At 36.8% G+C, this 13,564-nt stretch overlaps 1 long non-coding RNA gene across 1 annotated transcript in view, besides 2 other annotated features; it reads left to right on the top strand.

The window, feature by feature from the left end:
* The first annotated feature begins 1,473 nt into the window (after positions 1-1,473).
* The window catches only part of LINC01392 (long intergenic non-protein coding RNA 1392), a 107,757-nt gene continuing 95,666 nt past the window's right edge, over positions 1,474-13,564 (top strand). Inside the window, exon 1 of the long non-coding RNA NR_126407.1 lies at positions 1,474-1,646. This is a non-coding gene — a long non-coding RNA (long intergenic non-protein coding RNA 1392). The remainder of the gene's footprint in view (positions 1,647-13,564) is intronic.
* Positions 5,860-6,428: an enhancer, noted in NCBI's record as "OCT4-NANOG hESC enhancer chr7:114866455-114867023 (GRCh37/hg19 assembly coordinates)". NCBI's record gives its function as "activates a minimal SCP1, AML or CMV promoter by ChIP-STARR-seq in naive H9 embryonic stem cells {active_cell/tissue: H9 hESC(naive)}" and the evidence as "EXISTENCE:reporter gene assay evidence [ECO:0000049][PMID:30033119]".
* Positions 6,429-6,998: an enhancer, noted in NCBI's record as "OCT4-NANOG hESC enhancer chr7:114865885-114866454 (GRCh37/hg19 assembly coordinates)". NCBI's record gives its function as "activates a minimal SCP1, AML or CMV promoter by ChIP-STARR-seq in naive and primed H9 embryonic stem cells {active_cell/tissue: H9 hESC(naive and primed)}" and the evidence as "EXISTENCE:reporter gene assay evidence [ECO:0000049][PMID:30033119]".

Here is a 13,564-nt window from a genome sequence, read left to right as displayed (position 1 = left end):
TAATTCATTTTATTATTTCCATTTTACATAGGAAGTAACTGGGACACAGAGCAGGTAAACAACCCACCCAAAATCATGCATTGCTGAGTAGCAGAACTCAGGATTCAATTAGGACACTCTGACTCCATCACTTCCCATACACAGAAGCTGAGGTGACTTTTAAAATATATGTGTAGCGTAAACAACAACCAACCAGAATAGATGCTAGTCTTGGCTCAGGAATAGAGCCCAAGAAAAAACTCGTGCAAAGATATTAACAATTTCTGAAGTAAGGAGAAGAAGCGACAATCCCCGTGTGGGACCAGAGCAGCAGGAAAAGACAGACAGACATTTGGCAGGGTCTGCAGCAACAGCTACCTACTAATCTATACAGAAATTTCTCAGTATTTCAATAAGAAATACAGCCATATTGGTGACACAAAGTGAATATCAACCCTATGATATGTGCACCCCAAATTAATTTACCAACACAGATTCCAATAAGAACCTAGCAACAAATAGAAATAACAGTCATATTCAGGCAATTCCTTTTAGTTTCACTGACTGCCTCTTTTTGGCCTCAAGCACATGGGAATGTGTTCATTTGCAACGTCAAAGTTGTTATCATCTTAAGAAGGTGACTGATCATATGTGAAACACAAGATGGTATGTCAGGATCTGAATTCGTTCTAATACCTTTTAAAAAAAAGTATATAGCTGGAGAATATATTACGTGAACCCTATTTAGAAAATTCCAAGATCTTTTAAAAATATCTGAACTTTGATAAAATCACAAAGGAATAAAAGACATGCTCAGGAATGACTCATAGTAGCACAAAAGATATTTAGCTATATAAGAAAGTTTCATGTTTGAAGAATATTCACTTCTTTCCACTGATCAATGGAGAAAAATGTGCATTCATTTGCTGAGAGCAGAATATGCCCCCAAACAGCAAACCAGGTTTTATATAAGTCACTTTTCATGTTAGCTAAGATTGTGTCAATCATTTAATGGGTTTTAGCTTAGGGATAAATTTTAAGCTGTTATTTTTCTGGTGAAGCCAGCAATAGGAAAATGTATGCTGAGGGAAGGAAAGAAACTGGAAAATTCAGCTAACTTAATAGAAATCTAACATTTGCTATTGCGTTGAATAATTACGTTTTTCAGATCCCTTTGAAGATGAAAGGTTTTGTATTAAACTTTTTTATTACCAGGCTATCATGAAAAAACAAATCCCTACAATGTCTGTGCATTTCTTGTTTTAAAATACGCAAGTGATCTGTTGCCTATCTTTATAACAGTGGTTTCTGTTCCAAAGAGCCTTAATCTGGAAAATATATGACATAAACTTAAACAACTGAGAATATTTAAAAATGAGCTATTCAAAAAAACATGCTATTGATACTGTTAGACGTTATGGTAGTTTGTCCACTTAACAAAGAGAAAGGCAGTGTTATGTTGGGTATAGCTATGGTAACTTAGGCAGATGACTCACTCAAAGCCTTTGTTACACTATTTATGACTCACACTTAGTAATGCTCACCCAATTACCTTTCCTAGTATATCTTCATCTTGTTAAAGTGTATGAGAACTGCTTTGGAGAGTCTAATAAGTCCAAATGAGCATTAAAAAGGAGAGAGAGTAGGAGAAGTATCTCTTGAGAAAGGTGAGTCCTTCCTATAAACTCTGGGTTTTATTATGGGCTTGCAAGCAGTACTAGAATCTGGTGTAACACATGATGACCAGATCTACTTTGTATTCAGGGAAGTCAATGAGTTCTCTAAGTGGCATGAAGCTAAGTACACCCACATAGTTTCTGAGTACATCAGTTCTTCAGTGTACATTAAGCCTTTCCAGATTTATCCACAGAGGTTGGCTGTTTGCCAGAATTCAGATTCTGTTCTGTTGTGCAGTGGGCTGAGTATTCCCAGGTGCCAGCAGAGTTTTATGCCTAGTCCTTATTTACAGTTTTTCTTAGAATTGCTTTGAAGTGTGAACAATCAAGTTGCAGCATGCTGTAAAGTTCTTTCCACATGAGCCCTTTATTTCATTTTCTGTTACAGCTCTGAAGCCTTCTCAAAACAGAAGTATTTATCTACAACTATTAAAATGCATTTGGGATGATAAATTCCTTATAAATACTTTTACATAATTTTATTCTCTTTATGAATAAGACAAAAATATAAACAGCCAATTGTATTCTTTCTCTACTACTTCTCCTCAAAAGGAGTAGTATTTAGCAAGGTGTTTGACTATTAATTATTAAAATGTATAAAATATTCTGTGGCTTAATAATACCTACAAGATGGGGCTTGCAAACACCTTGTGTATAATCACAATTGCGTATTATTTGGAATTCCTAACAAAGCTTCTAATACTGATATGATAACTAATTTGTAGCACTAAATATCACCTTTTTGGAAAGGAAGTACCTATAATAGCCTGCACACAAACCATGCCTAACATCCTTTTTCCTAACCACTATCATTTTCAGATATTCCAAACTAAATGCAGATTTTTTGTTTCCAAGCTCTATATTACCTTAAGATCAAAAGCTCTGACTTGAATTGTGTGCAAGGAGGCCAAAAAGCAGCCCAGTTCCCCAGTACTCTTTCCAAACACCACTCGGAGGTGACCAAAGGCTCAGCATCTGTGGACAGCCATTTGGAAAGCCTAGTGGGGTGAAACAGATAGCCCCAGCAAAAAAAATGGAAATAAGGGGCTCCCCTAGAAGCCGGGTAATGAATAAATTTTTCAAATTTATAAAGAACTTGGCATTTCCATTTAAAAGATGCTTTATGCTAGATACATTTTATCTTTTTTAACCCTGGATTTTGTGCTTGTTTGCCAAAAAATCACAGTCTACGTTGTGAGAATAGTACTCAAAAATAGAAGTGGTCTAGTAAGTGGTGGAGACCAGTGAGTTGCATAACCACATCAAAGGGTTGCACCTCTGTGTTATGCTCTTCCAATTTGCAGCTCTAACAAACTTTGATTTATGGTGCCAAGAGGGCCCTGTGTGGATGACTTCTGCTCCTTTCAGAACTTTTAATCTTTATTTTTAAATGTCACAATTCTAAATGATTTTTTCGGAGTTAGCCCCAGATAAATGATTCCTGGGAAGACCGCGGCGATGATCCTGAGCCCACTTGCACTTGTGGTTGATGGCACATTAAGCAATAATGCTGATAACGTGCTGCAATCAGTACCTATAGCATTTTCACCTGACCTCAAAATGAGGTTAATGCAGAAGACAAATAGAAGGGAAGCACATGCCCCATTTTTTCATCAGGCTGTTACATAAATAACAGATAAACATGCTTCTGTTCAAACCACATCAGAGCGGAAGAAAATGCTGCCAACTTCAAGCCGTCAAAGACTTAAAAATGCTGTTGTCAAATCAATTTTTTACAGCAGACTGACCTGTTTGCAGACCATTTTTAATAGCAGAAGAGTTTAGGACTTGGGCTTGGAGTACGCAAGTGATTTCCAAATGACATTTGAGATGTAAAATTTCAGTCTGCCAGCCTTTCCCTCTCTCGCGCCCCATCCACCCCCACATCCATACACATGCACACACGCCCCATCAACTTCCACTGACATTTCTTCATTACCATGAAAAGGCTCGGGCAGTCTTGGGGGATTTTGCAAAGCATCATTCCTCTTTTATACCCAGGCTCTCACTGATAAGTCTACAAATGGTTTTCAAAATTTTATGCCCCAACAGGAGGTAGGGTTTGAGTTTTTAAAGTTGTAGAGATAGTGGCTTCTAAGTTTATCCCTTTGACTTCTCTGGCCATTATTACCCACCCAGTGTGTCCCCATCTCAGGAGCTAAAATGCCAAGTGACCTTTTTGGGTGAATGGTTACAAAAACTCATGGGTACATTTAATAGGAAGAAATGTGGGCTCAATAACATGGTGTGAGAAGATTGTCAGGAGTGTGTTCTTTTTTTTTTTTTCTTAACCCAAACACAGCCTCTGTAGATTTTTTTGAATGTTCAAGTTACACCTTCCTCTTCAAATGATAAAAGAATTCAGTGTGAAATTTGCTTTCATAAACTTTTGTGAAAGGTTCTGTCGTTCTCATATAATACTTCAGGAGTATATATAGAGAACACATTCAGCTGTCTCCCTTGATGCCTTAATGATCGAATCAGAGGAAAGGGCTGTATGGGTTTCGTTCTTATTTCTTACTCAATTCTCTCCTCTGTACCATATGAACTTGGATTATATGGACATCACCTTCTTCACTAAAAATAAAAGCATGGAGTTATTTTTATTATAAAATTTAGTACCATGGCAGCCAGTGAAAGTGTAGCCCACAGAAATTTGCCATTAGAAAATCAGGAATCTTATAAAATGAGAACACTATACTGAGGAGTTCAAGTGGCAAATAGGGATGGTGTTTGTTCAGTTCAATATCCAAATCTATTAGGATGTGGGATAAGCACTTTGCTGAAAATATTTTTAAATACTTTCAAGATATGACAGGCCAGGTCAGAATCATATGGCATACAAAGAAAACCCTAGGTTAGCCTAAAGCTGCCTCCTTTCATATTTTAAGTTCAGCCTAAAAGTTTCTCCATATGTAGTGAACTGATACCTAACTGGATATGTAAACCAACTAACCAATTCTTGTGTCAATCTCTGAATTTTGGCCAATTAAAGGTGACCAACTGTTCAAACCATGTTCAAATAAGGCAAATACTGAGCTGTAACCAATCCACTGTTTCTGTACCTCAGTTCCATTTTCTGTGCATCGATTTCCTATTTCTGTCCATAAATCTTTAACCCTGTGGCTGCACTGGAGTCTCTCTGAGCCTACTCTGGCTCGGGAGGCTGTCCGATTTGTGAGTCATTCTTTGCTCAATTAAACTCTGTTCAATTTAAGGTTTTCCTTTTAACATCATATCGTGACAATATCAGCATTTCCATTAAAAGACCTTTTTCCCCTTGTAGGATGTATTAATGTCTAGTAAAAAATGGAGATATACAAAAGTTAGCACATAGTCTTGCAACTATATTTATTGCTGAAAAGTTATCTTGGCTGTTTTTAAATGATAGTATTTCAACCATACAAAAAGTTTTTTTTTTTCTACTTTATTTTTTATTTCTGGCCTCATATGACTCAAGAACAGCTTCATTTTCAACCATTAGCCCATGATGTTGGCTGCTGCGTTTAGGCAGTTTGGGGATAAAAATAAAATGACCAAGTTATTTTGTTTGGAAAGGCAGCTTCTGCACATTTGCTGTATTTTTTTTCAATAAATATTTCATAACTCTTTTTAAAACATGGCCTTATCCTTTAGCACATATGGGAGGCAGCTAAATCTAAATCAAGTAGATGTTCTAGAGCTCAGATTCCATCACTCAGGACCCAAATCTACTTTTCTGAACTAGCTCAATACAGAGATAGGCATGATAATCCCCTTAATATCAGAAATTACTAATAGACATTTTACATTTTAAAACATTAAATTATTGTGTATTCTATATATCATGCTTCAGGGAAGGGCTGAAATGCCTCTGTTTTGCTGGCTGGGATATGTCTCTCAGTTTCCATTCCACTAAGCCATACTTCCAAATTATTGGGCCAGTCCATCCACCTGGCAGTAAAACACGTCATTCTTGTCTTTCTAGATTGAGCCAACCTAGGAAGATAGGGGCCATGTACGAAAGAATTTTTTAAAAAAGAAAAAAAAGTGTGTGTTTGTGTGTGTGCGCGCATATATAAAAAGAGAGAGATAAAGCAAATATAGTAAAATGTTAAATTTTAGTGTTTCTGACTAAAGAGTACACAGTGATTATTTGCAATATTCTTGCAATATTTCTGTAAACTTGAAATTGTTCCAAAATAAACATTAAAAATATAAAAAAAAATAAAGAATGAGAATCAAAGCTCCAATGATAATAAAATATGCTTTCTGAAAGTATCAAATAAAAATTGCAACAGCCAGAATTAAACAAAGAAAGAAGGCTTTACTCAAGATTGTTGCAATAGGGGTCAAGAATATTGCAACTGAAGAGACTAAACTCAACTCCATTGAAACAAGATGGGAAGGTTTTTAAGCATTGAAGCCAGGTCTTAGGAAAGTACCTTGGGGGAATTGAGGGGAGGTTTGTCAATGTGATTAGGCCATTTGAGTTTGCTAACTGGCAATTATCACTTAGGAAAGTTAGCTTCCTGCCCTCTTACAGAGAATGGGGGTAGGGACCTTATCTTTCCTGATGATTCCATTTCAAAGGGATGGCTCCCAGGTCTTTGAGAAAGACGTTCCTAGGTAGTAAAACTGGCAAGAGGCTGAGAGAAGATTTACATCTCAAAGGGACAGAGAAGGAATTTGCAACTACAAGCTTTCTAAAGTAAATACTCTAAGAAAAGGGTGATCAGGGGCTTATAGGCAGGAAGAAATTTGTCTGAAGTGTAGTCAAGCTGGGGGGAATGTTAAGGCCTTCTTGGGCTTAACAGAAGTCAAATGTATTTCCCTGTTTTGCAAAGATGATAATAAGTTTGTCAAAAGCCATACTAATCTTAAGGGAAGAAAATCAAAGATTCAGTAGCCAATCTTAAAAGATTTTCAAGTTTCTATCCATTTGTATTACTATGTCCCTCAAACCCACAAGTTCCCTTCCTTTCTCTAGCGGGCTTAGATGTAGAGGAGAAAGGCGAACACAAGGAGTACTTTGAGTTTCTGCTGTAACACTTGTTTATTTCAAATGGCAATTTCTGCTTCTGTCTCTGGCAATCCCACCCTGTATGATGCTGACCTCACCTGTGCTAACACACAGGCGATTATAGCTTTCTTTATCATTCTTCAGCAAAGACAATCAAGTGCTTTTGGTTTATATCCTCTCCCCAGGGACCTGACACAAAGACACTCCGCAGAGCCTGAGCCAAGAAAATATTTGGGAGTCAGCACACTTAAAACTGTACATCTCTCAAGAGACACTTCGAACTAATATCCCTGAAAATCCATCAGCAGCCTTCCACTCTATCACCTCTAAATCTGAGGTCTCTGTTCCCTTTTTTTAATGCACTATCCAACTGCTAACAATTTTACTCGATCTACTAGCTCTACCAACACCTCTATTAAAAAGCATCAAGTACCTTCAGCGACCTCACAACTACAGAGTTTTTGTTTTGATATTGTCACCCTTAGCCTTTGGACAGAATTCACCACCTGTTTAGCAACCAGCTCTTCTTTGAGGCTTTTTCTCCCCCTTGGAGCCTATGATAATGTGCTTTTCTGGTTCTCTTCCTGCTTCCCTATTTTTTTCTTTTTGATGTCTGTCATGGACCCTACTTTCTAGATTTATGCCCTAAAGGTAGGAATACTCCAAGGATCTGTCTTCACCTTCTTCTGGTCTTGATCTACACCTTGTTGTTGGGTTAGTTCGTCCACTTCCGTAGTTTCAACTACAACCTTTCTGCTGATGACTGTAACTACCATTTTCATGCTGATGATTGAAACTACCACTTTTATGGTGTTGCAAGTCAAACTGTCTTCAGTTTCTGTCTTTCTCCCTCAGCTCTAAACACTCTAGCTGTCTCTTAGACAAAGAGAACCTAAAATTCTGCTAACACTTCAAACTGAACATATACAAAACCCAATTAGACCATTTTCACCCCTCCACGCCTGCCTCTCACCTCATATTCTCCAGTCTACATGTAACATTCTATTCAAGTTTCTCTGATACTTGATAGGGCTGCACCTGTCTTTCTACTTTCGCTCCGGGTGAACTGCTCCAGCCCTGCCAGATGATCGCCCACGCTCCAATCGTACTGTGCTCTTTCCTTTCACACTCTTGATGTTTGTTCCATGCTGAGCACTTACACCCAGGGGTTGAAATGCCACATTATATTCCTGGTCCAGGGATGTAAGCTGCTTCCCAATTTCTCTGATTATAATTAATATCTATTCAGCACAACATTGCTTCTATCCTTTATAACACAACATTTTTCTTTGTTTTTTTTTTATATACATGGCTATCTCTTTCATCAAATGAAAAATTTCTTGATAGCAGAGTCTACATCCTACTCTTGTTTTTATCCTTACAATTGTCTTTCACAGAGTGGGTCTTCAGGGCATGTGTGTTAAATGAAATAGAGCATTTTCCATAGGCAATTTGAATCTGTTCTGAATCCCTCATGAAGGTCTAAATAAATAGGCTGTAGATACTAGAGAGGTGAAAATTAAACAGATCCACCAGATCTCTTGATTGGGTGGGGTTTGGGGACTGATAACTGTGTATCAGTACATTTTCTGATATTTTGAACTGCTCTTATTCTGCTGACAATAGCAACTTAGTATTTTGTTTCACGTCATAAACCTCTAAGAGAGAGGAGGTGAGAAAAGCACTCTGCAATCTCTCCTGGTCAAAGGAAAATGCCCAGCTATCCTAAGATTAGTTTTCGAAGCCCATTTAAAAGATGTAGCCAATGTAACCAAAATGTATTCATAAATGCTTTACCCAGTTGGCTCTAAGTAGATACAACTCATGGGAAGGGCTGCCCTCTCTTTTCAAGTGGAAATATGTGGCAGAGAAGAAAATTAGCAAAGTAATGTCACAGAAGTATCTCCTCTCAAATATGAGCAAACATGACCAATGTTCAAGGTAGTTTTGGAAGGCTTATTCCAGCCTGGCTGGATCACACAGGAGTGACATCATCACCCACTGGAAAACAGGGGACGAATTACCATGGAATATCATAATCTGAAGTGGCTCACAAAAGCTCTGCCATTGCCAGTGCAGGAAACTTGTCTCAAATATAGCACACTTTAGGAGCCACAGATTTTCCTTCCTTTTGGGAAAAATGTAGATATAAGTACTGGTTAATCTTAGAAGCTGATAATTATAATTCTTGCCCAAGTAAAAGTGCAGTACTAAACCAAATAATACTCTTCCTAAAGAAACAGGATGTAGTTAATAATAGCTTCTTTTTATTGAACACCCACCATGGGCCAGATGCTTTATCTGCATTTGTGTTTATTTTTACAATAGCCCAGCAAAGTAAGTATAATTATCTCCATTTTAGTTTTGTGGGAACTGAGGCTTACAGAGCAAAATAATGGGTAGACAATAAATTTGAACTTGAACTCAGGTTTTCCTGACTCCAGATTTTATGCCTGTTCAAATCTATTTTGCTGTCATAATAGAAATGCATCAAGGTACTGAGGGATTATTTTCAAGATAAGATGTGAACCCGCTGCTGTCACTTAAAGCTCTCCAATTCTTATAGATGTAAAATGGAGATACATCCAAAAAAGGTTTAGAAAAAATAATGCAGTGGAAAGTATCAAAGATAGGACAACCGCATTGTTCTTCTTGGACTTTGTAAGATACCAATGCTGGTTAGGATGAACTCAGGACAAGTCCAGCCTATGAGAGCCAGAAACAATGATCGAGTTATCTACTTAACATTGTTTCTCCTCTCTGAAAACCTGGAGATGTCAATGCTATAGTAAGCCTGCCTAGGCCTATCCTATTTCTAATTGACACTGACAGAGGTAATAAATTTTAACCTTTTCTGTGTATCTCAGGCAGCCCCTGGCCCCTTGAAAGCAACATGTGATTGACTTTTGGAATGCTATGCAAAGAAAGGTCTGAAAAGAATACGCTGCTTCCTTAACCAGTCCCCTTATCCTTCAAGAGTTTGTAAAACTACTAGATTACAGTTTGTCTAATGTGTGGCCACCAGGTGTGACAAGTATTTTTCATAGCCCCTCCTTCCTGGGTGACCATTTTTTCCTTATGACTCCCTCTCTGCATGAGAGATCATCCCTGTGGCTCTTGCCATCCTTTCCATTGACTTGACCTTCTTTCAAGATCTCCTGTGATCATCTATAATGCTCTGATTCATGATCCACATTCTCACCTGGAAATTAAAACTTGACAACTTTTAGAATTATTTTTTGCAGATAAACTAACTTGACTTACCACAGATCAGACACCCCAAATATTGAAATTAGCTTATTCTGGAGTTGAGTTTGCCCAACTTCACATATACTTATGACACTGGAAGGTCAAAAATTGATCTCTCCTATTCAAGTCCTATAAAAAATAATTGTCTACCACCTAAGTTAATTTCAAGTTTTTTTGGCCCAGGCTCTTTCTCTGTCTTCATCCCTCATATACTATAGCACAGTTTCCTTGGGATATAAATTAATATATTTTATATATATTTAATGATTTTCATTTATCAAAAATTATTTTCTGGTATGTTTTAATCACTACCAGCATTCATTTTATTTTTCAGTTTTTATAAACCCATGCAAAAATTCTTTAAAAAGAACTTAGATTTTACAACCTCTGAAATAATTCATTATCAATTGGACAAGAATTTGAAAACAAGTGAATTAGGATCTGTATTCTAAATTTCTCAAACTTTTTTTTTTTGGTTTGGCTAATTAAAAATTTCATAAAAGCTATATGATAACTTGTGGCTTGGATTAAAATGATTAATCAGTCCCCTAGTATTGCAGGAATTACAAATTTTTCTTTGGAAAAGCATAAAACATTCTTAGAAAAGAAAAAGCATAGAATACAAGGAAAACAATAATCAAAATGTTTGCATGGATTAATAATGCTTTTAAATTAGGAAGACAGGACAGGGTGGGGAGAGCTTCCAACATCGTTTCACTGAATTAAAACTAAAATATTTATAGTTATAGAAGCAGTGACATCAGTTTATCTGGATTTCTAACTAAATTTCAGAAAGCGCCAAAAAGGCAAATAGGTGTCCAGTAGTGAAGAGTTCCTTAAATCAGTTCTTAGATCAGATGCACTGGATCACCATCCAAATTTGTTAAAACTTGTGAGAGCTCACAGTTTATAAAGTGTTTTTCACAGTGCCTACAGAACATGAGGCAACAATAAATCCTGTTCACATCTCTCTTATCCTTCATACTTCCTGCTGTGCATGAGTGTGTGTGTGTGTGTGTGTGTGTGTCTGTGTGTGTCAGGGGAGTGGGCATTTCTCACTACCCCAGTATGTGGAGAGCCTTTCTTTAGTTTCTTGCTTTTGTTTTGTTTAGTTTGCCCTAGAAATTAAGTTTCCACATTAATATTGTACAGTTTCCACTGGCAATAAAACTCTCCTTCAAGGAATAAGCATCCTTTGGGAGTGTGGAAGCTACAGAACATAGATCAACAATCATGCACACACAAAACACCCTCAGAAATGATGTAACTTTAAGGAAATATTGTAAATAGAAAGATATGACTTCATTAAAGAATCCTGGAAGTACTCATTTTTCAGGAATTTAGCTCTCCATAATTCTTTTATTTCTTTCACAAATTGGATAATTAATGTGAGTTAGTCAAAATCCTCTATGGTTACAATCTCTGTGATTCTTTAATATTATAACTCTATGGGCTCATTTCTCATTTTCCTCCATACCTCATTTAAGGCTTGAAGTCAGTGGGAATTACCTCAGGCAAGATGAATTAGAGACTATCTGCCTAATCACTTAAGGCAGACTGTCAATTTTTAGAAATTATTAAATACATCTATACCGTCATATGAAAATGTGAGTTTTCATGAAAACCCACATTCTTATATTTCTAATACAGATAAGAAAATTCTTTTTAAAAACTTAAAGCCTCATAGGATCATAGAATTTTGAAACTAAGAGTTTTACAAATTATTTATTTATTACTCATTTATACAAAAAAAATGTCATGGGAACTTTATGGGCCAAAAACATAACCTCTTTGTCAAGTTTTTTAAACTTTCCAGGCCTCAGTTTCTCGGTTGGTTGGATGAGAAAGGTGAAAAGGAGACATCTCATGCAACTCCAAGCTGTAATAATCCACAGTTCTGGGCTGGTAACTTGTCAAAAGTAACCTAGCTAATTAGTGGCACAGCCAAGGCTACACTCCAGAAGCTAGAATTTCCTGGTCACTCCTCTCCTGTCCTTTGCACTGTAATACACTAAGCTTCTAAGTTAAAAAGAATAATAATTTTTTAATTCTAAAAATGCTGTCCTATGTCTATAAAAGGTCATGTCCAGCTCTGTAACTTAGCTTGAATAGTTACATATGAGCTCTAATAATTAAATGGCAAACATTGCATATTATGTCTAAAAATTCAAAAGCTAAACTAATACTAGGTTAAGCTATGTACAATTCATATTTTCTTTCCTTATTTGTTTTACAAATGGCATTTGGATATCACTTATAAATCCCAACCCTTCAAGTACAAATCTAGTAGAGTTTGAGGCTTATAAACATCTCAGGGTGCTTCTGGGCTCAGGTCAGGGAGCACTTTGCAGGCCAGCATATTGAAGCCTTCCTTTATATTGTTACCAAATTGAAAGCTTGCTGGTGAACATGAGACACAACCCTTGAAAGAGGAAACTCTCTTCAATGCAGCTTGAGCCATATGCCATCCAGTTGTCTTACGGGCAGTAGTGGGTCCCCTTTTTTCCAAGTGTGTAGAGAAGAGCATCGTGTCTTTTGTGGCACCAGCTTGCCAGGCCCAGAGCATTCTCCTTCAAGTGCCTCATTCAGTCTCCAAGTTGGCTGAATAAGGCATTTTACTGATGTTAACAGAGGGACAGACACATATGGAGACAGTCAGCTGTCCAATCACTGCATTCTAAGAATAATTCTTTCTATCAGTGTCATCCTATTCAATACAAATACCTCTCAAACTCATGATAGACTTACATATATGGTAGTGTAGCATAGTGGTTAGGGTTTAGCCTCTGGGGGTGGACCACCTCCACTTAAATCCTGAATCTGCCACTAGTTGAGTGTCCTTGGAAGCAAATTGCATGACCTGGGAAATCCATTTCTGCATATGCAAAATTGTGATACTAGAATCCACCTCACAGGGCTGTTGTAAAGATTAAAGGATTTAGTTTTTGTAGGCTGTTTAGAACAGGTTTTGTTAGTTTTTATCATTAATGTTTTCTATATTGAATATTTTTCTATTGTTCCAGTTACCAGTGCTGTCATCCTCACACACTCTCACATCTAAAACTTAACATGTCTTCGCAGTTCCACCTCAACAATATCTTGTTAATGCAGCCCTTTCTTTATACTCCAGCTGTCTTGTATAGTTCTTACTGTCTGTATTACTCTGGTGGAATTTATTGTATACTATACTCCTTTGTATTGCTCACTGCTCATTCTTTTCTTTCATGTTTTCATTTTTGGGTTTCCCGTTGAGATCTTTTCTTACTCTTCTTTGTATTCTTTTCTGCACTTTAGTATTGATAACGTGTGGTACATAATAATATGTAATCAATATTTATTAACCAGAGTTCTGTTTCTTTTATTTATTCAAAATTCAAAATAGGTACATTATTAGTACCTACTACATAATAGACATCAGGTAAAGTAACTGCAATACACTATGAAAAAAACTACAATAAAATCATGAGGAATTATATTGGCAGAAAGGAAGCAGCAATAACTCTGCTTGCAAGAGCCAGAAAAAGCATTGCAAGGTATATTCTTCAATGGGATATTGAAGGATAACTAGGAGGTTTCCAGATTTATGGAGAGTAGTAGGATAAACAAAGAGAAAGAAATATGCTTATTGGCTTAGAGCTGTGAACTAGTATGGGGGAAC

Source organism: Homo sapiens, chromosome 7 (assembly GCF_000001405.40).
Source record: "Homo sapiens chromosome 7, GRCh38.p14 Primary Assembly".
NCBI lineage: Eukaryota > Metazoa > Chordata > Mammalia > Primates > Hominidae > Homo > Homo sapiens.
The sequence above is the reverse complement of the archived record's forward strand: the minus strand, read 5'-3'. Positions and strand labels throughout refer to the sequence as shown.